At 43.0% G+C, this 24,897-nt stretch overlaps 1 protein-coding gene across 1 annotated transcript in view; it reads right to left on the bottom strand.

Annotated features, from left to right (window-relative positions):
• Positions 1-24,897, bottom strand: part of CACNA2D3 (calcium voltage-gated channel auxiliary subunit alpha2delta 3) — a 952,006-nt gene that overhangs the window by 732,097 nt on the left and 195,012 nt on the right. Inside the window, exon 3 of the mRNA NM_018398.3 lies at positions 21,903-22,019. Coding sequence (NP_060868.2) covers positions 21,903-22,019 — 117 coding nt within the window. The remainder of the gene's footprint in view (positions 1-21,902; positions 22,020-24,897) is intronic.

Here is a 24,897-nt window from a genome sequence, read left to right as displayed (position 1 = left end):
TGCCCTCTCCATGCACATACAACAACATCAATCTCCACCATTTCAACGCAATTTTATGCCTTTAGAATGATACTCAGATCCACTGCCTCATAGGACTGCTTTTTGTGTAGATTTCTATTACTAACTCAACAGTAGGAGTTTCTCTGATCCTGAAGCTGCCTTACTCATCTTTAAATCCCTCTAATGCCTATTATTTACATGCAATCATGGTCCAATAAATGTCCAGTGGATAAGTGGCCTATGGTATTCTACTATAAACATTCTAATATATGTTTAGGTGAGACAGTAATATTATACTACTGCTATAGTACTTTTACATATGATTAAAATAAATATTAAATAGATATTGATGGGCTTTCAAGTCCAAGCTCACCCACTTGCCAACTGTGTATTCTTTGGCAAATAACTTAATAGCTCTGTGAATCAGTTTCCTCACCTACGAGATGGAGAGATAGCAACATCTACTCCTTAATGTTCTGAAGATTAAATAAACTTGTACATGTAATAAAATCAGAACCATGCCTGATCACTGGAAACACTTAATAAATGTTATATATCATTCTACTAATTCAACAAGTACTATCATTATTGACCCAGGCACTATGCTAAGTACTCAGCATGCAAAAATACAAAAAAAAACCGCACTCTAGCTTGAAGGAGTGCAGTTAGTTACATACACTCTGGAGGTCTCATAGCAGAAGCTAAGATAATATAAAGATTTGGATCTACTGTAAGAGCCAGCAGATGGATGAAGTGAGGAAGGTTCTAAATACCTAGTAGCTATCAATTGCTGGAGATGCTACTGACACTTGGCAACCTCTCAGGGTTTTGAGCTCTGAAAGAAGGGGACGCTAGTAGCAGTAATAATGCCAAACTCATGCTCCCAGGCTTTAAATTATCTGTGTGATGCCATCCTATGTACACCAGATGCCAGGGTGAACCAACCTTCCTGACCCCTTCAGGTCAGAGGAAACGCTGGAGTGCTCCCATTCTGAGTTTGTCTCTATGCCAAACCTCCGGGTCACATAGTCTCTCTGCACAGCTTCCCAGTAAATCTCCACCAAGTTACCTAGCTGGGAGGTGATGGGCACTATAGCTTGGAACCTAGCAACTGGCTCAGAGGATCTACCCCGGGAGGCTCTACTATCAGGATGACTGATCAGCCACTGGTAGAGTCTAAGGGTTGAGAAACTTGGAAGATAAAGAGAACAAACACTGAAGGCAGTTTGAACAAATGCAGCATTTTCACCCGGACTTCTTTAATGGAACTCAAAGGTGCTTAAGCAACATAGGAGAAGTATTAGCTCATGTGATGAAAAGGGCTGGAGAGTTATCTTAGTGAAAGTGACCATGGAAAGTCTTTTTGAGAACTGACATTTGAACAGACACCAGAAGAAGTCCAGGGCAAGCCACCAGCCATCTGGAGGAAGAGCAGTCTAGGTGAGGGGACAGCAGGCGTGAAGCTTCAGAGCAGGGAAGTGGGGAGCAGTGAGTAAAAGAGAAAATGGAAACAGACGAGATCAGGTCAGTGACGAGACCAGAGCAGCTCTGACCTCATACCTCTGTGGTGAGGAGTGTGGGGACCCTCTGATTAGACAAACTTCAGCCTTGTGCTCACACCTGGGATGTGCCCCATCCAAGCCTTGTGGACTGGGGATCAAGAAGGGACAGATCTCCATGGAAAACCAGGAAGTAGAATAGTGGATGCTGTACAGAAAGGGGAAAAAATGGACAGGATCTATTACCAGAGAACCACAGAAATCCAAAAGCTCACTTCATTTGGAACAAGCTCCACTTCACCAGTCACATTACATTAAATGTCCATTAGCAGGTGAATGGATAAATAAACTATGGTACTTCCACACCATGGAACACCACTCAGCAGGACAGCACCATGAACCTTTCTGCTTCCCATTCTTTTGAAATACTGGAAGAAGGTACGTTTTCTGTTTCACTTTATATTCATTTCTTTTCAAACATATTAAGCTTTTATATCAGCCTGACCTTGACAAAATATGTTTCTTTTTCATGGACAAATGGATTGTTAAAAATACTATAACAAGTCTGCAACTCACTTTGAAACGCACCAGAAATAAGACGTATTAATGGATGGCTAGAAGGATAGAGAGATGGACAGATAAGTGATGAAATGAGGATACTTAATATCAATGGCAGATATGAATGGGGGGTGTATGGGTGTTTGTGTGGCAAATTTGTTTCAATTGTGTTGCATGTCTGGATATTTTCATAATAAAATGTTGTGAGTAGGGAACACTATCAGCACAAACCTGAAAAATAGCATTGGTAGAAGCAATATTTTTCTAAGTATTTCTTTCAAAATCAATAGGATAAACTTGCCCATAACCTAAGTTTTCTAAAATCATTTCTCTTTGAGTACTGTCACGTTTCTTTGTCCTTTGTCATCCTGAAAAGTGAGATAACCACTATGGACTCATCACCTTTGGAGAAATCTTTTCTCCAAGAAATAACTCTCCAGCATCTTTAAATAAATGTATGTAAAATTCATAATTAGTTACTCAATAAATATTTACTCTTTAAAGTCACAAGAAAATTAGGGTCTGATGATTAAACCTCCTATGACTTTCCACCCTGTAATTAACAGGAGTGAGTGGTACCATTAGTAGTTTCAATTCTACCCACTAGAGTGCATCCTGTAACTCACTCACAAAGAATAGTGCTGTTGCCTAATATTTTAAAAGGCTATTAATTAAAGAAAACTTATTTAAGTTACTCGAGTTTCTAATATTGTTGTAGGTAAAATATTCTGATCAGATCTCTGGCATATCAGAAAAATTTCTGATCGTTCACTCATTCCATGAACTTCCTGGATGTCTGCACTACAGGAGGCACTATCCTGGGTGAACTAAACACACACAGTCCTTCTCCTCACTGGGCTAAAGTTCTAGTGGGAGAGCAAATGAGAGCCAGATGCCTTAAAAGGTAATTTTAAATACTGACGAGTTCTATGAAGAAAAGGTATAAACAAGACAACATGAGAGAAAATGATAGCGTAACAGCGGTCGTGGTGGGAGGTGTTAGGGGTGAAGGGGGTATTTGGGGTAGGGTGAAAGGGGTTCTACCTTAGGCAAGAGGGCCAAGGAATGAAATTTTCCCCAAAGAGAAGAATCCAAGAGGAACCCTGAATATCAAGGAGAGACCAGATTTTGGTGAAGAAGATTCCACTCAGAGAGAACACTGCATGCAAGGGCACTCTAGAAGAGAGAAGAGGTTGGCACATTCACAGAGCTTGAGGGAGGTCCCGGAGGGAACTCAGCAGAAGAGGGGCTGGGAGAGACAGGCGTGGCCAGGACCATTCAATGGCCTTGCCAATGAATTCTGATTTCATTGTAAATAAAGTCAGAAATCATAGAGGATGACAAGTTCTCTGCAATAACGAACCGAACTTCCAGGATTAATACCGGTTGCTTTGATGTATACATTCTATAGACTGCGAAATAATCCCAGGGTTAGAGAAAATAACCTGGCTACTGGGATGCTGGAATGTCTGTGGTGATGCTGCTAATAGCTGCTGTGGCTACACAATGATAACTAGAAAAGACAATTAATGGGCTTTGGCGTGTGTTCAGAATTGGGACACATGTTTTACAGGCCGTTCCTTCCTCAAGCCCCACGAGCCAGGGCAGTCACTGCTCTCATCTTACAGCAGATGATCTGGAAGCTCAGAGACAGAAATGACCTTCCCTAAGTCACAAAGCGATCAAGAGGCAGAGTCAGGACTTGAACCTGGATCCAGGAGGTCCCACAGACCATTTTCTTCACCAATAATCAAGTGGCCCATAAGCGACAAGCCCTTTGGACAGCATGCTGGGGAATGCCAGAAAGACAGTATCTGTAAGCGACTGATTGCTGAAGACAGGTGTCATTCTCTGGCTCATCTTCTCCTAGCCCATCCTAACCCAAATAGATACACACACACACACACACACACACACACACACACACACACACACAGGGAGGGGAGATGAAGAGAGCTATAAAAAGAAGAAAAACACAGCTGAAAGCTGTTTTCAAGTCAAGTGTATCTATCACCTTTTCCTGTGGCAACAGCAACATGCTCACAACCTGCCTGGTTCAGAAAAGAAAAAGAGCACACATGTGGCAGTGGGTTAGAGTTCATATTTTCCTTTGTGGCCCACGGTAAACAAGTTATGGTGTTTTATTCCTGTGCACCCATCACCCAAGCCATAGGAGAAAAACATTGTTCCCAAATGTTTTCTTACTGCAGCGCCTTTGTGCGCCAGTGATTGCTGTAATTTAACCTCCATAATAAAACAGAATCATCACTGGATGACAATTTATAGCACAGTTTCAGAACTGTTTACTTCTTCTATAGTGCTCCATAGTGATTAAGATTTACTGGTGTTGTCTGTCCTCGGGGAGCACTCACACAGCCCTGCCAACAGCCATCGAGCCAGACAAGTGAGGCACTCACTTAAGGCACCCAAACGTTTTGGATGCAAGTGGCAGCCTGTGTCTTAATAACCAAAAAGGGGTGTCCATGGCTTGATCTACCCCTGTGGACAATGAAATAACCTATAAAGCATTCCAGGTGACTTAGCCACCTCCCGTGGAGTTGTGCATCTTTCTGATAAATCACTTTGAAGACATATACATGGAATGCCAATGTTATATAGCCACCTATTGGAAGAAAGGAGGGTGAAGATGCTGTTTGAAATGAGGCTATTTGACTGGCTGGCTTATTAACGGGGAGGAGGAGGGAATGGCGGAAAGAAAGGAAGCGAAAAGACATGGAACTTTAGAGGCATGAAATCAAGTATCAGGAGTGGCAAAGGGATGGCATCAATAAATCCCCCTCCACTGGAAAAGGACCAGTCTAGTCTTCTCAATAGGGCCTACAACTACTGTGGGACAACTCAGTTTTCCACTAATGCAGAGACAGCAGAACTTAAGCAATGCAGGTATTAATAAGGATGTTAAAAGTGCATCCATTTTAAAGGAATTCTAAGACAAAGAAGGCTGTGCAGCAATGTCACTGATGGATCTGGACTCTGGAGTTGGACATACTGGACCTGCATCTGCTCTGCCAAGCTTTCCCTCTGGGACGCTGGACCTGCTCAGTTTCCTCATCTGTCAAAAGGAGGTAATAATACCACCTACCTCATGAGGTTGTTGAGAAAATGGAATGCAAAGATGTGTCTTAGGCACAAGGTGGGAAGCCAGGTACAAGGAAAGCAGTTAAGAAAAGTTCACTGTAAATGTTATCTTTCCACCTTTGCACTACTGCTCCAACCTCAGACATCAGCATACCACCATCACCATTTGCCGTATCTGCCTACCACCGTGTGTGCGGATTTCTGTCTGTCTGTCTGTCTGTCTGTCTATGTCTCGTTCTATGTCTGTGTATATACAGAAACTTGAGCTATTCATACTCTTAGCACATCATCATCACTGGTCCATGCAAGGCCCCATCTTGATTTATATCTCCTTCAGCCCTGACCTCTACTCTTATTCCCTCCCCCACTTGCACCCACTCTAATGGATTCAATGGACTCCTTAATGGGGCATGTGTTTATAGAAAATGCATATGGGTGTTTTATATACTTTTAATTTATATAGATGCTACTGTACTATAAATCTTATGCTATTTCTTATGCATTGTTTCGCTCAAGATCAGTGTGGGTTGCTATGTGATCACTGCTTTTGCAACCACATCCAGCACATTTGAACTGTCCCTTTCCCTAATGATGGGTTCTAGGGAGTCTCTAGCTGCCTTCAAAAACCAGGCTGCAACTGGCCTTCTCACCTCACCTTTACTTAATATGTTTCTTTGAATCAACGTACATAACATATAACTTCCACTTTAAAAGGAAGTTATATTTGTTATAATGTAAATTTCATGTAACTATTAAAATTATTAGACAGCTATGAGCGTGTGACCCTTGGGCTCCCACAGGTACATCACTCCATTAAGGACCGGCCTGATGCTCATTCACACTGGACACCATCCTGCATTCCACTGATAGGCTGGGGCCAATGAGCTCAGGCTGCCAATCTAGTTTTCCTCTCTAAACATTCTGTTTAACCTGCAGCTTCTCCCTCTCTCAAACAAGCAAGAGCAATGAGAGGACCAAGCAGAGCCTTGAAGCCCCTCCCTCTGTGCCCAAGGAAGACACTGCAATGCAGAGCCTGTTTCACCTTCACTTTCCTCTCCTTGTCCGTGTCAGGGACCCTGCCCAGCTGAGGAAGTCAGGCTGTGCAGAGCAGGAGGGCGTCCATGCGTAAGAAGACTATACAGATGGGAGCTCTCCATAACCCACTGGGGCCGCCCTGCAGACAAGTCTCCTGGGATTCTGAGGAGGCAGAGTTTCTTCTAGGTTACCTCCCTGAGATATAGTAGTGTTGGAAGCATTGGAACCAGAAAAACTCCATCTTTTTTTTTTTTTTTTTTTTTTTGAGACGGAGTCTTCCTCTGTCGCCAGGCTATGTAGTACAGTGGCGCGATCTCAGCTCACTGCAAACTCCGCCTCCCAGGTTCAAGCGATTCCCCTGCCTCAGCCTCCTGAGTAGCTGTGACTACAAACATGCACCACCACAGCTGGTTAATTTTTTGTTATTTTAGTAGAGACAGGTTTCACCATTCTGGCCAGGATGGTCTAGATCTCCTGACCTCATGATCCGCCCGCCTCAGCCTCCCAAAAGTGCTGGGATTACAGGCATGAGCCACTGCGCCTGGCCGCAACTCCATCTTAAATAGGGGCTGGGTAAAATAAGGCTGAGACCTACTGGGCTGCATTTCTAGACAGTCAGGCATTCTAAGTCACAGGATGAGACAGGAGGTCGGCACAAGATACAGGTCATAAAGACCTTGCTGATAAAACAGGTGGCAGTAAAGAAGCTGGCCAAAACCCACCAAAACCAAAACGGCAACGAGAGTGACCTCTGGTCGTCTTCACTGCTACAATCCCACCAGCACCATGACAGTTTACAAATGCCATGGCAATGTCAGGAAGTTACCCTATATGGTCTAAAAAGGGAAAGCATGAATAATCCACCTCTTGTTTAGCATATCGTCAAGAAATAACAAAAAAATGAGCAACCAGCAGCCCTCAGAGCTGCTCTGCCTATGGAGTAGCCATTCTTTATTCCTTTACTTTCTTAATAAACTTGCTTTCACTTTACTTTATGGACTCGCCCTGAATTCTTCCTTGAGCAAGATCTAAGAACCCTCTCTTGGGGTCTGGATTGGGACCCCTGTCCTGCAATAGTAGCATTTGCCATAGCTGAATTTTTAAAACCTCTTCAAATATTCCTATTAAGTGTTCTATCATATCCATACTTTCTGTATGATTATATTAATAATTAGACCAAGAATAATAGTAACTAGTCTTTAGGAAGTAGAACTATGTGCCAGGCACTGGGCTAAAACACTTTACATCAATGTTCTCATTTGACCCTCAAAATAACTCCATTAAGTAGGTATTCTAACCCTCATCTTACAGTTAAGGTTCCCAAAGCTTAGGGAGTTTAAGTAAATCGGGCAAGATTATTCAGCTATTAAATGACTAGGACAGGATCTGAGCTGAGTGAGTTTGGTGCCCAAACCAGAGCCTGCTTCTGCTATGCTGGTTGTAAAAGGTACTATTTACATATACAAATAAAAATAAATGACCATTTACAAAGTGTTCGCCATGTAACCCATGGGCTCATGCCAGACCCATGTTTGCTCATTTGATCCTCATGTTAGTTTTGAGGTCACTCGTGTGATTGCTTCCATCTCAAGGAGGGAGCGTGTGACCTGGGCTTGGGGCTAGTCTGAGGGAACCAGCCTCAAATCCATTCTTGCCATATCCAGAGAGTCACAATCCCTGCCACATGAGAACACGTCCATTTCACAGACAAGAAAACTGAGACTCAGGGAGGTTCAGGTCTCACTGTCAGTGGATAATGGCTAACCTCAGATCTCACTGTCAGTGGATAATGGCTAACCTCAGGTCTCACTAGCTCCAAAGCCCAGTTCACTCCCTTCCAAAGTGAACCTGTTTCCCAAGAGATGACTGAACATCTAAGTGCATCAAAGTCTGCATACAAAATAGCCTGTAATCCCAGCACTTTGAGAGGCCAAGGTGGGCGGATCACTTGAGGTCAGGAGTCAAGACCAGCCTGGCCAACATGGTGAAACCCCGTCTCTACTGAAAATACAAAAATTAGCTGAGCGTCGTGGCGAGCGCCTGTAATCCCAGCTACTTGGGAGGCTGAGGCATGAGAATTGCTTGAACCCGGGAGGCGGAGGTTGCAGTGAGCCGAGATCACACTACTGCACTCCAGCTAGCAGAGTGAGACTCTGTCTCAAAAAAAAATTAAATTAAATTAAAAAGTCAACACATAAAACAAATGACTGGGGCAAAGTCCCTGCACTTCCACTTCTACAAGAGGAAGTAATTCCCAAGGCTGACCTTCTTAAATTGCTGGGGCCAATGAAGCAGGTTAAGGGAGCGTGCTTGGAGAACCACAGCCATTGCTGAAAGTGAGCAAATTATGCATTGTCTCCTTATAACTGCCTCAGAGAGGTGAGACCCAATGGGACACAAGCTTGGAGAACTAACAGGTGACGTTCCCCTTTGGGCTGGCTCCTACGAGGTTCCCTCCACCCATGAATTGTCCAAATGTTGGGGGAGATTCCCTAAACAGGACAATCCTGAACTGGTCCATCTGCTAAATGTAGCTGAAAATTAAAAAGCAGGCTCTTTGCTTCCCTTAAACACAGGCTTCTCGGGCTTTCTCCCAGCACAATAGAGGCGGCTGCACTTCCCAGCTCCCTCCCCCTGAGTGCTGCCCCGGGGGCTTCACTCTCGGTGGGCTGTACAAAAGATTTGTGCTCTCCAGTCTCCAGAGCGCATTTGGCTGGAAGAGAGGAACAGGCAACAAAGGAGCCATCTCAGGGCACCACAGCCTCTGATCACTGAGAAGGCAACATACTTTCTAAGGGTGGGCAGGTGCATATACATCAATACCCAGAGAAAAGTGGGGAACATGGCAGCTTTTCCCTAGACACAAAGGGAAAGGGAGGCGGCCAATGAGCAGTGCAGACACAGAAATGCAAACCCTGCCGCAACTTCCTGTATTCTTAAAATGACACCCGAACTCTTCCAGTGAATGCCTAGCACCCACCAAGCCAGGTGTGTGAAGCGCTGGGAGAAAATTGGGGAGCAGAGTAAAATGGACCAACCACTGGCCTGGGAGGTGGTGAGGAAGACATTGAAATAAACACATGAATCGACCACCTCTATTCCACCACACCATGCCCCTCACAGCAGGAAAAAAAAACCCCTTGTCTTGCTCTCTCCTCTCCAAACCCTCTCTCCACTCTATCCTCTTCTCAATGCCTTCAACTGGTCCCACATTCTACTTCCTCTCCAGCTTCACATGTGCTGTTCCTTCTGGTTCTGCCACCTCCCAGGACCTGGTGTATGTTTGGCTTCACTCCCTGGGTTCCCTGGGTGGCACGGCCAGGACTCCCGATTTCAAAGCCTTCCTGTCTCCCCTAATAGCACATAAACTCCATGTGGGGAGGGAGCCCGCTATAAATCTAGATCTTAACAGTAGCCAACCCAAAGACCCCAGGCTGATATAACTTATAGCCCACAAAGCAGACAGGTGGTCAAGGAAAGATGGGGCAGGTGAGGTGAGCATGCTTCCCCACCCACACACAGGCCTTGGACGAATGAAGGTAGCTCAGGACAGGAAAAGAAGACACAAAAATTGCACCTCTACTCTCAAGCTTTTATTTTCTCCTCTTTGAAATGACAGGAATTCTCAAAGAAATAAGCACTTCATCCCACTCCCGACAGGCATTAGTTCAAAGCATCACTCCCCAGTCCAATTCTCAGCTGTGGTTACCAGATAAATCAGAGAACCTGAACTTGATTTACACATTGGATGTGTTTCAAAGTGGCATATAAGTAAATACACATGCATGCTCACGTGTCCTATACATATGTGAATTATATCTCAGTAAAGCTGCTTAAAAATTGCAAGGGTGGCTGGGTGCTATGTTTCAAGGTTGTGCCAATAATTAGATAACTGCTTTTTAAATGCTAACAACTCAGTTATTAAGACAAGTTGTACACATGACAAACATCAGAGAGGAGATGTGAGAATATAATTTAAAATCATTGACTATGCAAATGTGAAATTTCAAAATATGTAAATGCACCACACTGTGATAAAAAGGAAGGATACATGGGGCTAATTTCTTCCTGTTAATTCTGCTAAAATAACCCCTTTATTGTCCCGTTCCTGCCATGGTGAGCTCTTTGTGTTGTTGTTGATGAAGGCTTAATGCTCTTTCTTTCTAGAACGAAGTTTAATGAATTATTTTTTCTATAAGGTGCCTGCGCAGAGAGATAAGTGCCACATATTCAAATGTAGCCACTTTGAGCATTTTTCATCCCCTTCTCCACGTGACCAATACTGTCTCAGTCCATGCTACAGGAAAGTTATGCTGGGGACCAGGGTAGATTGAGGGAGGGAGGGGATAGCTCTGATTTTCATTTGCCGATTCTATGAATGGGACCAGACTGGGAATTATTTACATGAATCAAACCTTTTTGAGATTGGGAGAAAACAGACAACAAAACAAATAGAACTTTTAATAGGTGAGGGCTGAACAAGAGCTAAACATCCTCAAATGTTAAAGGTGAAGAAAATCTCAGTCTCATTTGGTAGTTCAGGAACTTTAAAAAAGAAAGATTCCATGTCCCCTTATAATGCACATTCTTACCTTAAATCCTTTGAATGGTCTTTCCCCCGCACCCAGCCAAGAATTTTTTAAATCCAACTTCACAAGTATCACTTAAATGAGATAATATATGCAAAGCATAGCATAGTGTCTTGGCAAGCAAGAAGCACTCAGTAATGTGATGATCATGATGACAACAGAGATGATATCAATGATGAAAACAATGGCAATGACTCCAGCTGGCTTTCTGTGGGGGAATTATGGAAGCTCTAAGTATGCTGCCTACTTCACATACACATAGACTCTACTAACCCTAATCTGACTAATGCAGGGGTTGCAAACTCAATGTTCCTTGGGGCCAGAGTAGCAAATAAACGACTACGGAGCTGCATGGAAATCAACCAATAGAGACATTCATGCTGATGCTGATTGCTTTTCTATGGACATGGAGGCCCAGGATGGCTACACTTCTCCATTTTCCAAGATTTAAATCTGGATATTTTAATATCACTACATATTTTTATATGTGATTTCATTTTTCCCCCTTAAAGCCCACACAGACCAAGTAAAAGGTATCTACAACCAGGATTGGCCTGGGGGACAGAGGTTTACAATTCTGATGTGATTAATTATTTTTTATTTCCCCATCTCCAATGACGAAATTCCCATGAAAATGAATGCTCATGTGTCAACCACCAACCCCCACACTTCTGCCCATCCCCTCCATTATAAACACATGTGTACTGAACATACTTCCCTAGAAAAAAAATCATCTCTACCAAATCTGGTCTCAGAGGCCAACCCTAATTCCCCCGTGTGGACCACAGCAAGCTGATGCACTATCCCCAGACCATGGCCACAGTGACTGCAATGACAGACTCCCAGCACATCAAGGGAATGGATCCACTGAGCCCTTTGAAGGGAAGTCCTCTTGGAGACAGGCTGCCAGGCTCAAAAGGCATCCTAACAGAGGCCACCCACTGGCTGGCCAAGAGGCTGCCTGCAGGGCTCTGCTCCCCTATGAGTCTGACTGTGCTCCAGTCTGACTGGAGCTGCTTCCATCATCTCTGTGCAGCTGGTACCCATGTATTCATGGCTGGTTAAAAGTCATAAGAGTCTGAATCTTTGCCCAGCCTAGAGTTTTTACTAAGGCAACTCCTGCATTAGTCAAATCAGGGCCACAACCTGGGTTAGGGTTAGCAGTCTTCCAGTGTCTGCAGAAACACCTGCTTGAGGTAGGAAGACTCCTGCTCATTGGCTGGAGTGGGGCTGTCTATGAGCAACTCCAACCGTGACCCTGGATGAGGAGTCTGCTTTCTGACATCCATCACGGGCTTTGCAGAGGTACTAGAGAAGTTCCTCTCTATAAATCCCATCAAACACACTCACGAAATGCTCCAGAGTCACTGGGTGCAGTGAGGGGAGGCTCTCTAAGTATATTCCCAAGGATCTGATTTTCCTTCCCAAGTGACACACACACACACACACACACACACACACACACACACATATCAATTAAAAAGCATACAAGAACAAAAAATCCACATTTACCCCTGATAGTACAAAGCCTTGCATGTTCATCTATTCAGGCTGCCAGTAAGCCTGGGATGTGCAATAAATGATATCCCAGCTGATTTTTAACAAAGATTCTGATTACTCGCAAGGGCTGTCATCTCTCCACTGAATGCAGTGTAAATGAAATGCCAATGAATTCCTAACTATCTTTTCATTTTCCCCCTCATAACCTAATTTAGAAAATGTAAATAATCTCACTCTGTTTGCAGGACCAGCTGCTCCTCACCTCCATATGGGAAACTGAGTAAAGACCAAAAAAGTACAACCAATGCCACCAACACATCGCTAGTTAGACTAAATATGCATTCAAAATATTTCTGAAACCCTTTAATTTGTTGCTGGTAATTTATAAAATTATAGACAGTGGTCTTTTATTATCATTATTATTATTATTATTATGGCTTTCTTCTGTCATTTGGATCTCTTGATGGTAACACATCAGTAATTCACCCATCATAATTTCCTCCCACCCACAAACCTTTTAAGATTGCTTTTGCCTGGCCTGAGTATAAATTAAGAGGCATTGTTTTCTACCTGGCCTAGTGTAGAACAACAACAACAACATAATACTCTGAAAAATCAGAACTGGGACAAACATCTTGGTGCCACATTGCTGTGTCAGGTTCATTCGCTTGGAGCCGACAGTGGAGGATTCTGGAAAGTCCATGAACCCCACAGTTGCTTTGCAGTTGAGCTCTAATACTTTCTTTTCCCCTTTATCAGGAGTTCTCTGGCCAAAGGGAAGGGGTGTAGCCCATACCATCCATATCACCCTCACTTTAAGTTATCCTGACCCCAAGACAAAGGCCTGTAAGTCAATCCACAAACATTTACTGAGCACTTAACTATAGTTTGAAGCACCGTAGTAGGCACTGGGGCCACAGTAAAGGCAAGTTGGGACAAGAAAAGAAATAGTACAGTTAAACAAGGGGAAAGAGTATTACCAGGCAATGTATGAAAATAAAAAATAAAAATGAAGAAGAAATGGCTAATACACATGTAAAAAGATGGTCAACTTAACTACACAGTACCTTTCAGAAAAGTCAATCAAAGTGACCCTGGTGGTCAGTCTGGGTGCTCAGACAACGAGCCATCTGGGAACAGGACCCCTTCCCGGTGAGAGGGGCTGCACCAAGCTCAAATTCTCTTGCAACTACTGACTTTCTCCCACAGTAGTGGGGAGGCTGAAACACCCTGGGCACCACAGTCCCTAGGTATTGAGCCGCCGATGCTCCCAGCTGATTCCTCCAAACAGCTGGCACCCCAAAGTCAGGAAGCTTAGTGCTAGTTAGCCTGTCCCTCCTCCTCAGGACTGTTCCCATGATACACTCCAGAAAGGGAGGAGAAGGGGAGGGCCCCTCCAAGCATGTCCAGCAGAGTGCCTACACCCACATTCCTCTCTGTGGGAGGATGGGGATCAGCACCTGGGCCATCTCTCTGTTTTGGCAAGCCCATGCTCTCTGTGTGACATGGTGTAATTTCCTCAAACCCTGGTGCAGGACAGATGAGGAGCCGGAGGGACCCACTGTGCCAAACGGTGAGTAATTAAAGAAAATAACTTGAGGCCAGGCGTGGTGGCTCATGCCTGTAATCCCAGTACTTTGGGAGGCCGAGGTGGGCAGATCACCTGAGGTCAGGAGTTCGAGACCAGCCCGGCCAACATGGTGAAATCCCATCTCTACTAAAAATACAAAAATTAGCCAGGCGTGGTGGCGGACACCTGTAATCCCAGCTACTCAGGAGGCTGAGGCAGGAGAGTTGCTTGAACCCGGGAGGCGGAGGTGGCAGTGAGCCAAGATCGGGCCATTGCACTCCAGCCTGGGCAACAAGAGTGAAACTGCGTCTCAAAACCAAAAAAACAAACAAACGAAACAAAACAAAAAACCATGAGATACTAAACTTGGCCAAAAGACTAATAATAGTCAAATACTAGAGAGGATAATGCGGAAATAGTTCCCCTCCAACCACACAGGTGGGAACATAGGCAGGCATAGCATTGTCTGTAGAACAATCTGGAAAGATACACCCAAAGCCTTAATTTCAATTCTAGGAATACATCCTAATAAATGCATCAAATAAATGGACAAAAGTTTCTTTGCAAGAGAGTTTATCATATTATTGCTTATAACCGTGAAACACTACGGATGCCATCAATGTTCACTAAGAGAGAGCTGCTTGATTGGAACATCCAGAAAGCAGTCATGAAAAATAATAGAAATCTATATTCATTGACATGTCCACAACATGTAATCTTTTAAAAAGCCTGTTACAAGAAAGAATAATCCAATGTTTTAGAAGTTTATATACACCCACACATATCTATATACTCATGCACAAACAGAAAAAAAAACCTGTAAGGACAAAAACTAAGATGCTGAAAAACAAAAGGTATTGAGAGACATTAAGTACTGTTTGAAACTTATTTCTTCATGCTGTGATCTTTCCTTTCCCCTTTTTCATTTTCTGCACATTCTTTTCTCTTTCACGATGAATATGTATTACTTTTATAACCAGTAAAAACAAAAAGCATTAAAAAACACATGGGTGCTTCTACAGTAGACATAGAAAACACAAAACTAAGACTTCCATAAAGCTTTGCAAATGGAAAGCGTTTAGTCCAATTATTTGGGAAAGAGATAAATAACCATGAAGTTGAGGAGGGTTTGATGCAATGGTTCTACCCACAAAGAAGAATGCTTTCTACAGGCCAACACCCCCAGAATAAGCATGAAAGTTAGGATACAGTCCACCAAGTCAAGCCAACTTCAATGATGTGAGGCTGATGGAAAACTGAGAGCTTGAGGAGAGAAGACATGAAATTACACATACAAGTCATCCAGTGGTTCCCCTTCCTTCCCTTTAGTGGTAAGCATGTACCCCCAAGGGGGTGGACAAGTTGTTCCCTCTCAACGTGGGAGGGACAGCAGTCTTCTGGGCTTAGCTGTGAGGCTCAGGTTGGCTCAAACTGAAGTATGTTAGCGGAAACCCTGGGCCCATTTGGGGTGAAACCCACGAGGACCACGCAGTTCCATGTGGTTTTGTTCTCAGCCATTAACCAAAGATGGTTCACTGACCTCATCAAAACTGGTGAATACAGATTGTTGCTCTTTTTTAAGATTCTTCTGGTTTGAGGTTTTTGCTCTAAATTTCCTTACATATATACGTACGATTTTGCAAGCGACCCAGTTTACCAAAAAAAGGGGACAAATAGACAAGATACATCAACATAAAAAATTAATAGTCTCCTCCCTCTATCTGTGACTCAAAACAGAAAACATTATTTTTTTCTGAAACAAATGTACTGCTCTTTCAAAGTACAAGCTTTGAAATTCTGAGATGAGATCAGAAATGAAAACAAGACAGAAAACAAAAATATTTTAGATCTATACAGCCATATATACCTCCACTGCCTGAGAACTTAAAGTGATCCTGGCACTGTTAGGCTATATTCAGTTCCTAAAACCTCCACATTTTGGACTTAACATGTAAAGAAAATAATCAGTTCTGTCTTAAGAACCTTTCCTTAACTTACAAATGGATAAACGGAATCAATTATTTCATTTCCAATGTAATCCTTTTGAAAGTATGCCTCAAACACAATTTTCACAATGTCTATAGATCAGATGAGTTTTTAAACCAGAAGTATTCATATAGTCCCTATAGATATTAATTCCTTATACAGCTTATATTTTGGGGATGGAGTATGCTTTACTTGGGTGCATCCTGCTTTTCATGCCTCACTGTATATATTCCCATAAAAACACTGATGTATGTTATAGTCATACATATGTAGACAGGCACCAGTCAAAAAACATTCCAAGAAAGTTGCTTTAATAGTACCCTCTAGCTTTTTGGAAGATTGGCGTAAATCTCTTCTGCAGAGAGAAAAATCCATTTTTCTGAGAAGGTAAATGTTTATTAAATGCAAATACTGATATTCGTTTCCTAGGAAAAATGTCTTGCTGCATGTGGAATTTCTCGATAAAAAGCTTTCAAGTCCCAGGTTTCTCCAGATAAACCCCTATCGGTGGACTGATGCGTGAATGCACTGAAATTGAATTACTGTACAACAGCAATTACTTTCCACAGTAAAGCTATAATGGGAATCAGTTCCACAATGAACAGCAGGTAACTATAGGAAGGGGGGAAAACTTAATATAAAATCTAGTCTCCTTTAGCTCTTCCCAACAAGCAAAGGTATTTATTTTTAAGCAAAACACTCTTTTCAAGGGCCTGATTTATCATTTTATCAATGTAAATCAAAAAATAAGTGAAACAACATTAAGTTTATTTACAGGTGTGAGTTTCAGGGTGCTTTCAAAATTTATTAAATATCTTACCCAAGGTTTGAAAACAATTGGCTCATCACTGAGTAGGTCTAGCTACAACTTGTGTTTTATATCTCTTCACATTCCCCAAAAGAGTTCATTCTTTTAGATACAACTAATTAATTGTAATGTTTTGCTTGAAACGCTACCACAACAGATACTATCCTATAATCCCCCCAGTGCTCCTTCCCGCTCTGAAACCTGTTAAAGTTTGTGGAGGTCTGAAGTCTGCATAGGCTGACATTTAGGGTCCTCTGAATCAGTGTCTGGCCCTGAAACCAGAAACACTTGAGAAGACCAGAGGAGGTTCTAAGTCCAGCTCAAATCAGTGTGATGAAGGCAGTGGCAGAGCTGTTCAGTGCAACCAAAGGCAAAATCCACTAGAAGGAATTCACCTTTAGAAAACCATCCTAGAGAATATTAGCATAAAATCATAAATTCACCAAAGTCTTTTTGTCATTTCCTGGTTTATCTGCTTTTCTCTTGTGCTGCTCATCTCAGTTATATGTACCGCACCAAAATTACAGGATCATGACACCCCCTTGGCTGTGATGGAATTGGTCCTCAAAGTATATCCTTACAATCAGAGATGTCCGTGGTTACGCAGTTACTTCCTACATATTCTCTTCCCACTGCACATTTGGCTGTGCCTGCTCAGAGTTCCCTGGAGCCCCAGATAATGCTTGCAGTTGATTGATAGTTTGTGCTACTCCCCCTGAAGGGCTGGATTTTAAAGACAAAGGAAAGGCTGGGGGCAGCCTGTCCATATAACCAAGGTCATGCAATATAACCCTTCTGCCTTCTCCCTCCCCTCAAATCAGGGTACATTTCTCAACATCAGCAACTCAGAAGAAAGGGGAGTGGTGTCAAATTTGCCTTCCATCAATATCAAAGAGCTCTGACTTGTGACACAGACAAGCATTTCCAGGTGTCACTTAGGAATGGTCTGATGGGAATCCACAGTTGGCAGAGGACTGGTGCATATCCTTTCCTCTATGTCCAACATGTGAAATATCTCCCTTGAAATGTTAATGAACTAAAAGCAAATGGACTCCATTTCTTGTCCATTCGTAGGGACTTAAAACTTGACAAACTGCTTAGCAATATTAATTGAGGGCTTGGTAGCATAAATATGTCTGAACAATGAAGGTGAGAGATGGTGCCTTGGGCACAACTGCTATACACAAAAGCAAGCAGGAGCATGGCCATATCAAATAACCTATAGCTAGCCTCTGCGTGGGTGTGAAAAAATTACTTAAACCACCAATGGCATTAAAAAGAACTAGAAAATATTAGTTAAGAAATGCTACCATAATGATGGCACCATTATGTTAATGGAAATTACTGAAGCTAAGGTTATTTATAACTTGCTAGCCTCAAAAAAAAGTTACATATAGTCCATTACCAATGAGATGACAGGGGTTATGTAATGGGCAGGCCACTTTAGGTTTCACATTTACTTCAGACATCTGACGGGGAGAAAATAGGACTTTCTGTGATAGGATAATTGCATAGTGGAGAGTAATTCAAATAGGAGATGAGGATGATAAAATCACTCTGATTCAACTAATCACTGGGAAAAGTGATGGAGGAAAATGATGAAATCAAGCCAGAAGAGACAGAGAAAAAGATCAACATTGTTTAACAGGCAGGAGATGACAGGCTACATTAAAGGACGAGGTTATTGTAGTACTCCATTTTTTTCCCCCAGCACTAACTGAACCTAGTTTCACAGACTAAAGGTGTTGTTATTGTAGCTTCCTAAATTGCTACTGCCAGGCTCATAAATATTTTATATACACCAATGGAAATGTTAATAAATCAGGGTTGTTTGTGAACCAGGTTTCTCTTACACACGTCCCTGGAGTCACCACTGATTCACACTAGGAAAACACAAGGTAGGGCACCTGAACCTGGGACCCAACTCCAACTGCTGGGGGAGGGGGATGGGGGCTTGGAAATGGAAGATTCCTAGGTGTGGCGCATCAGAGTGATAGGGCCAAACCTAAAATCTGTTCTGTTCCTGACCTATCAGAAAATAGCGGGGTGGGGGCCCAGCACGGTGGCTCACGCCTGTAATCCCAGCACTTTGGGAGGCCAAGGCAGGCAGATCACGAGGTCAGGAGATCGAGACCATCCTGGCTAACACAGTGAAACCCCGTCTCTACTAAAAATACAAAAAATTAGCCGGGCATGGTGGCGGGTGCCTGTAGTCCCAGCTACTGGGGAGGCTGAGGCAGGAGAAAGGCGTGAACCCGGGAGGCGGAGCTTGCAGTGAGCTGAGATCGCATCACTGCACTCCAGCCTGGGCAACAGAGCAAGACTCTGTCTTTAAAAAAAAAAAAAAAGAAAAGAAAAAGAAAAGAGGAGAGGAAAGGAGAGAAAAGAGGGGGAAGGGTCACTGCCCAGTGGGTGGCATGGGAAAGGACCCCACCTTGTCTCACAGTGGTGCATTCCAGTGCAAGGCTACAAATAATGACTCCACTGCAAACCCATGGGCAAATTTGAACCTGAGGTCTTTGCTCTTCAAATGTTCACAAATCTCACAGGCAAACAGCGACTTTTCCTAATGGAGAATCAAGGTATCATTAAAATAGGAAAAGAGTCACACTCACTGCTTCCCTGGCCTCCAAAGGGACATCTCATTCCAAATGGCATATGGGTCCTGAGTGTTAACAAGAGAGCCACATGGCTCACAGTGAGGACAAGGCCCATCTCTACCATCCCCAGACTAAACCCCTACGTGACATACAAACTCTCTTTAAAGACGGGCGTGGGGAAATCCATATAACACTGGACCAATTAACCAAGATGTTACAGGCTCGAGCATCAAGCGTAATTACAGAAGGCCTGTGCATTTATTTTAAAATATATAGAATACACATTGCAAGGAATCTGGCTGCCTTTATTCTGGGAATATTTCAATTTAAACAGAGCAACTTATTTTTTTCTTCTCAAAGGAACTACACCCACCATACCAAATCGTCTTTTTTTTTTTATCTTCACTAATTTAACACAAAAAGGTTTTAAAATTAGGCAATACGAAGACGCTAAACCCAGTTCACGTTCCCTCCTGTCATCATCCAGGTGTTTCCTAAAGCTGCAAGACTACCTCCTATCAGATGTTCACAGATTAGAAGGCCCTTTAACCAGCTGTAACAGCAAATGTTTACTGAACATTTACTGTTTGCCAGACACTGAGCTAAATAAACACCTTACACAGATACAGAGGTACTGCAACCCCACCACCTAGGTGTAAAAATTAACTCTGCTGAGCCCTGCCCACGTGACCTGGGCAAATGCCTTCACCCTGCCAAGCCTGTTTGGTCATTTCTAAGACAACAATAATAACAGTGTCTCACTCCTAGTGTTGATACAAGAATGAGATTGCATACATAAAGTGATTAGCACAGGGGCTGGTGCATCTGAACTCAATAAGTGTAAGCACGTATTTATTAAATCATTGACTTCTCGTAATGCCGCCAGGCTGGTAAGTGAGGAAAAAAAGAGATTCACAGGGGTTACTCAGCTTTGCTCACTGGTCTCCCACCTTGGGGCAGAACTGAGATTCGGGACAGTTCCACTACTTTCAGAGCCCATGTCTCACTGACCACGTGGGCCCACTGCCTCAAGGAGGTGAGGTCTAGGTTCTGGTGCTGGCTGGACCTCTGTGTCAAGGCAGCATGCTGCATGGCCCCCTCCTCCTTCCACTCCCAATGCTCCCCTAATTCCAGGCACCAGGGCTACTTTGTCAATTGTAGAAGCAGAACCTAAAGATATTTATGTCCTTTTCTCCTCTAAAATTCTGTGATTCACAAAGAAATGCATGCTAAAATAATATGTCCCCCTCTCAAATTGACAATGCTGTTACTAGTTTTTTTTTTTTTTTTTTTTGCAAGGATTTCAGAAAATAAGCACTTGCACACCACTGTCGCTGGAGCAGCTGTGAATTGGCACAACCTTATCTGGACAGAAATGCTTTCATATGCATAAAGAACCTTGAAGATTGCTTCTGAGCCTCTGAACTGTCTTCTGTGTTCTGGAATTCACATTAAGGAAACACACTCCAGGACACTGAAAGCAAGGCGGCAGTAAAGAATGCGGACTCTGGGGTCATTATGACTGGGGCTCTCTCTCACTCCTCATGTGACCTCAGAGAAGCTACTCAACTTCCTCCTCTCAGTCTCCTCTCTTGTAAAATGGGGATAATACTAACATCCACCACGGAGGTGTTACAAGGATAATACAAGTGAGTACATATACGGTCCTTAAAGGAACAGTTTGCCTGTAGTAGGTGCTTGGTTGGTTGATCCATTATAAATATATAAGAAGATTCACTGCAGCATTATTTATGTCAAAACTTGCAAGTGAGCGAGGTGTGGTGGTACATACCTGTAGCCCCAGCTACTCAGGAGACTGAGGTGGGAGGATCACTAGAGCCCAGGAGTTTGAGAACAGCCTGGGCAACACATCTCTTAAAAACTTTTTTTTTTTTTTGAGCCGGAGTCTCACGCTGTCACCCAGGCTGGAGTGCAGTGGCGCGATCTTGGCTCACTGCAACCTCTGCCTCCTGGGTTCAAGCAATTCTCCTGCCTCAGCCTCCCAAGTAGCTGGGATTACAGGCACCCACCAACACACCCGGCTAATTTTTATATTTTTAGTAGAGACAGGGTTTCACCATGTTGGCCAGGCTGGTCACGAACTCCTGACCTCAGATGATCTGCCTGCCTCGGCCTCCCAAAGTGCTGGGATTACAGGCATGAGCCACCGCGCCCGGCCAATAAAAACTTTCAAATAACTCAGACATCCAAATATATAGGAACAGTTATATCAATTATGACACACTCATAGACTGAAATGTTATGCAACCATTTGAGAAAATCACAAAACACAGTGACACAAGAAAATGCTCAGACTAGAGCTTAGTTGAACCCTAGTGTACCTTTGAATGGTTTTTGGCCATTACTGAATGCATCATACAGTTACAGGCCCACGTTGTATGGCTGTACAATTAGTGGCAGCTCTGCTGAAGGCATACATTTACCAGAATAAAACTGGCACAGGAACCCTCTATGAAAAGGGCAGTTTGTGCCCCTAGTGACTGCTTTTCCTGGCTAACCAGACTGTAAAAATAAAAGTATTTACGTAATAGATGCGTGAGTCAACTTTTATCTTTGAGAGATTGGTTCATCAATGCCATCCCCTGAAGCTGCCTTTGTGCCTTCAGGCGATACAGGGCACAAAACATAGGCACTTACCCTGACGGCCTCAGACTTCTTGTGAAACATCTCTTCCATGTTCTTTGCCAGCTTCTTTACCAGTTGGAGGCCATCAATTTCTTCTATGGCAACGTCTTTCTCATACTCTTTGTATTTCTGTAAGAAGAGAGGGCAACATTCAAGACACATGACACCGTAAAACACCACAGCTGTGATTTCAGACCACATCTACCCACAAGGAATAAATAAAGATAAAATTACACCATGACTGCTTCTGGTGAATTTGTGGATATTAAACTGTGTTTCAAAATTATTAAGCCAACTAGGGAGAAGCATGAAACTGACTCTGGCTCTCCTGGGAGACTTAACCAGCACCCAGGAAAGGAATATATCTTAACCCAATTAAACGATCATCTGTCTATTTATAAGGGACTGATTTCACCCACAGTTGACTCAAATTCTCACTAAAGACAATTTTTCATTTAAAAGCCATCACATACCCTGGTAGTTTATCTGTTTAAATGTGCAGTTCTCAAAGTGATCCCAAAACTCCTATGGGTCCCTGAGACCCTTTCAGGGTCCATGAAGTCCTCATTTTTCCAACAGCGTTGTCTATGTGAAGCCAGATTTTCTTCAGCAACCAATCACAAGAGATTGAACACAGAAGCAGATATGGGAATCCACCTATTTCCTCTTAAATCAAATATTAAAGAGATTTGCAAAATGAAAAACAGCTACTCCTCTAATTTTTTTATTCTGGAAAGTATTGTTATTTTCCATAAAATATATTATAATATATATGTTAACATGCAATGAGTTTTTTTATCCTTGTATTAATCACTTTTTGAATTTCTTGGTTTTAATTTCTAATATGGTAAATATCAATAGACACAAGTAACCCACATAAAGAGACGCTCTCAGGGAGTCCTCAGGACTCTGTAAGAGTGTAAAGGGTCCTGAGACCCAAAACACGGTTTAACTAAAGATTTAATTTTGTTCCTAGTGGAAGGAAATATTGTTTATTAATAGGAACCTTCCAAATGAAGTTTATAACACTTTTAATGTCAACATGAATCCATCACATTTATTTGGTTATCAAACAGCTGGAAAATTAAAGATGCTGGGTAAGATATATTTACTCTTATTTGTGGGGAAACTCTGAATCAGTTTACTAATTCCTCACCCCAAGCTCTTACCCAGGGAAATCAAGGGGCTCCACATCTCATCTCAGCTCTAGAGACCTTAAGAGTTAGTTGTGAAAAGGAAAATGTATTACATTTTAATGGCAGAATAATTTTTGAGATATAAATCTACATTTTCTCTCCATTCATTCCTCCCATCCTATACCTTCAAAATGTAAATTGGGAGGCTCAGTTTCTCCTTGACTCGAGGAAGGGTGTGTGTGTGTGTGTGTGTGTGTGTGTGTGTGTGTGTGTGTGTCACAAAATGCTTCCCTTCCTTGTTCAAATGCTCAAATGTCCAAGTCTTTTGACGCAGTAATACTGGGTATCCTGAAATGAGATTACTGTTTGAGGACAAGGGGAGGAACTCTAAGGAAAGCAACGAATGTAAAGAGAGAATTCTTCAGATCCTTAAACTAAAACAAAATCCTTAGAGCCTAGAGGTGAGGCTGGAGGCATCTGGCCATGTGTTCTAGGAGCAGCAAGATACCCCTCTCTTAGCCTGAGCAACATAGTGAGACCCAGTCTCTACAAATTTTTTTTTGTTTGTTTTTAATTAATCAGATATGGTGGCACATGTCTGCAGTCCCACTGCTTGGTGAGCTGAAGTGGAAGGATTGCTTGAGCCTGGGAGGTTGAGGCTGCAGTGAGCTATGATTATCCCACTGTACTCCAGCCTGGGTGACACAGTAAGGCCTTGTCTCAGAAAAAAAAAAAAAAAAAGATACTCCTCTTACCCTTACAGGCAGGTAGGAACCTAGACATGGACTCCCCAGCAACCCCGTATTCACTGGCATAGGGGAAGTGGGAAGAGGTCCTCAAAATGGATCTCTTCCTCTGACCTGAATATTAGACCCAAGAGCTTGGAGTTTCTCAGCATTAAGTTGACCCTGGAAAAATTAAGAAGTGGTATTTCTGGACCATGTGAGTCTAGACCAAGATTGACATCTGCTACACTGCTTATTAGATGTTTTGAACTGCTTTACATGGTCCTATAATTGATCATGAGTTGTAGTTTCATGTTTCCCCCCGCTCCCTGAAAACATCCATAAAAATCTTATGAGTTTCTCTTGCATCTCACCTGAAAAACCATTTATTCCTTCAATCTAGACTTTTCTCTCTCCCCACCAAAGCTGTCCTATTCTCCAACACAAGAAGGGTTCATGCTCCATCCCAGACCCCAAAACCGTCTGTGCTCTTCTCTCCTGGCATCATAGATTGTGTGGCCCTGGAAGCAAGGACAGGTCCTTGTGGTTGCTGCCACAGCCCACAGCAGACACAAAAGATTTCTCTGGATGGAGCCTATTGCAGAGTAATTGCAATTTTACAATGCAAGGAAGATGGAAGGAAGGATGCAGCTGCATTTTCCTATGGTTCTATAAGGCTGCTATGGTTTGAATGTGTCCCCCAAAGTTCATGTATTGGAAACTTAATCCCCAATACAGTAGTACTGGGAGATGGGGCCTAATAAGAGATAATAAGGTTATGAAGGCTCCACCCTCATGAATGGATTAATGCTGTTATCACAGGAGTAGGTAAGTTATGGAGAAACTGCGTGTGTTATAAAAGCGAGTTTGGGGCCAGGTGCGGTGGTTCACACCTGTAATCCCAGCACTTTGGGAGGCCAAGGTGGGTGGATCACCTGAGGTCAGGAGTTCCAGACCAGCCTGGCCAACATGGTGAAACCCCATCTCTACTAAAAATACAAAAAATTAGTCAGTTATGGTGGTGGGCGCCTGTAATCCTAGCTACTCAGGAGACTGAGGCAGAAGAATCACTTCAACCTGGGAGGCGGATATTGCAGTGAGCCGCGATCGCGCCATTGCACTCCAGCCTGGGCAACAAGACCAAAA

The sequence above is a fragment of the Homo sapiens genome, chromosome 3, assembly GCF_000001405.40.
Source record: "Homo sapiens chromosome 3, GRCh38.p14 Primary Assembly".
In the NCBI taxonomy this organism is placed as follows: domain Eukaryota; kingdom Metazoa; phylum Chordata; class Mammalia; order Primates; family Hominidae; genus Homo; species Homo sapiens.
The sequence above is the reverse complement of the archived record's forward strand: the minus strand, read 5'-3'. Positions and strand labels throughout refer to the sequence as shown.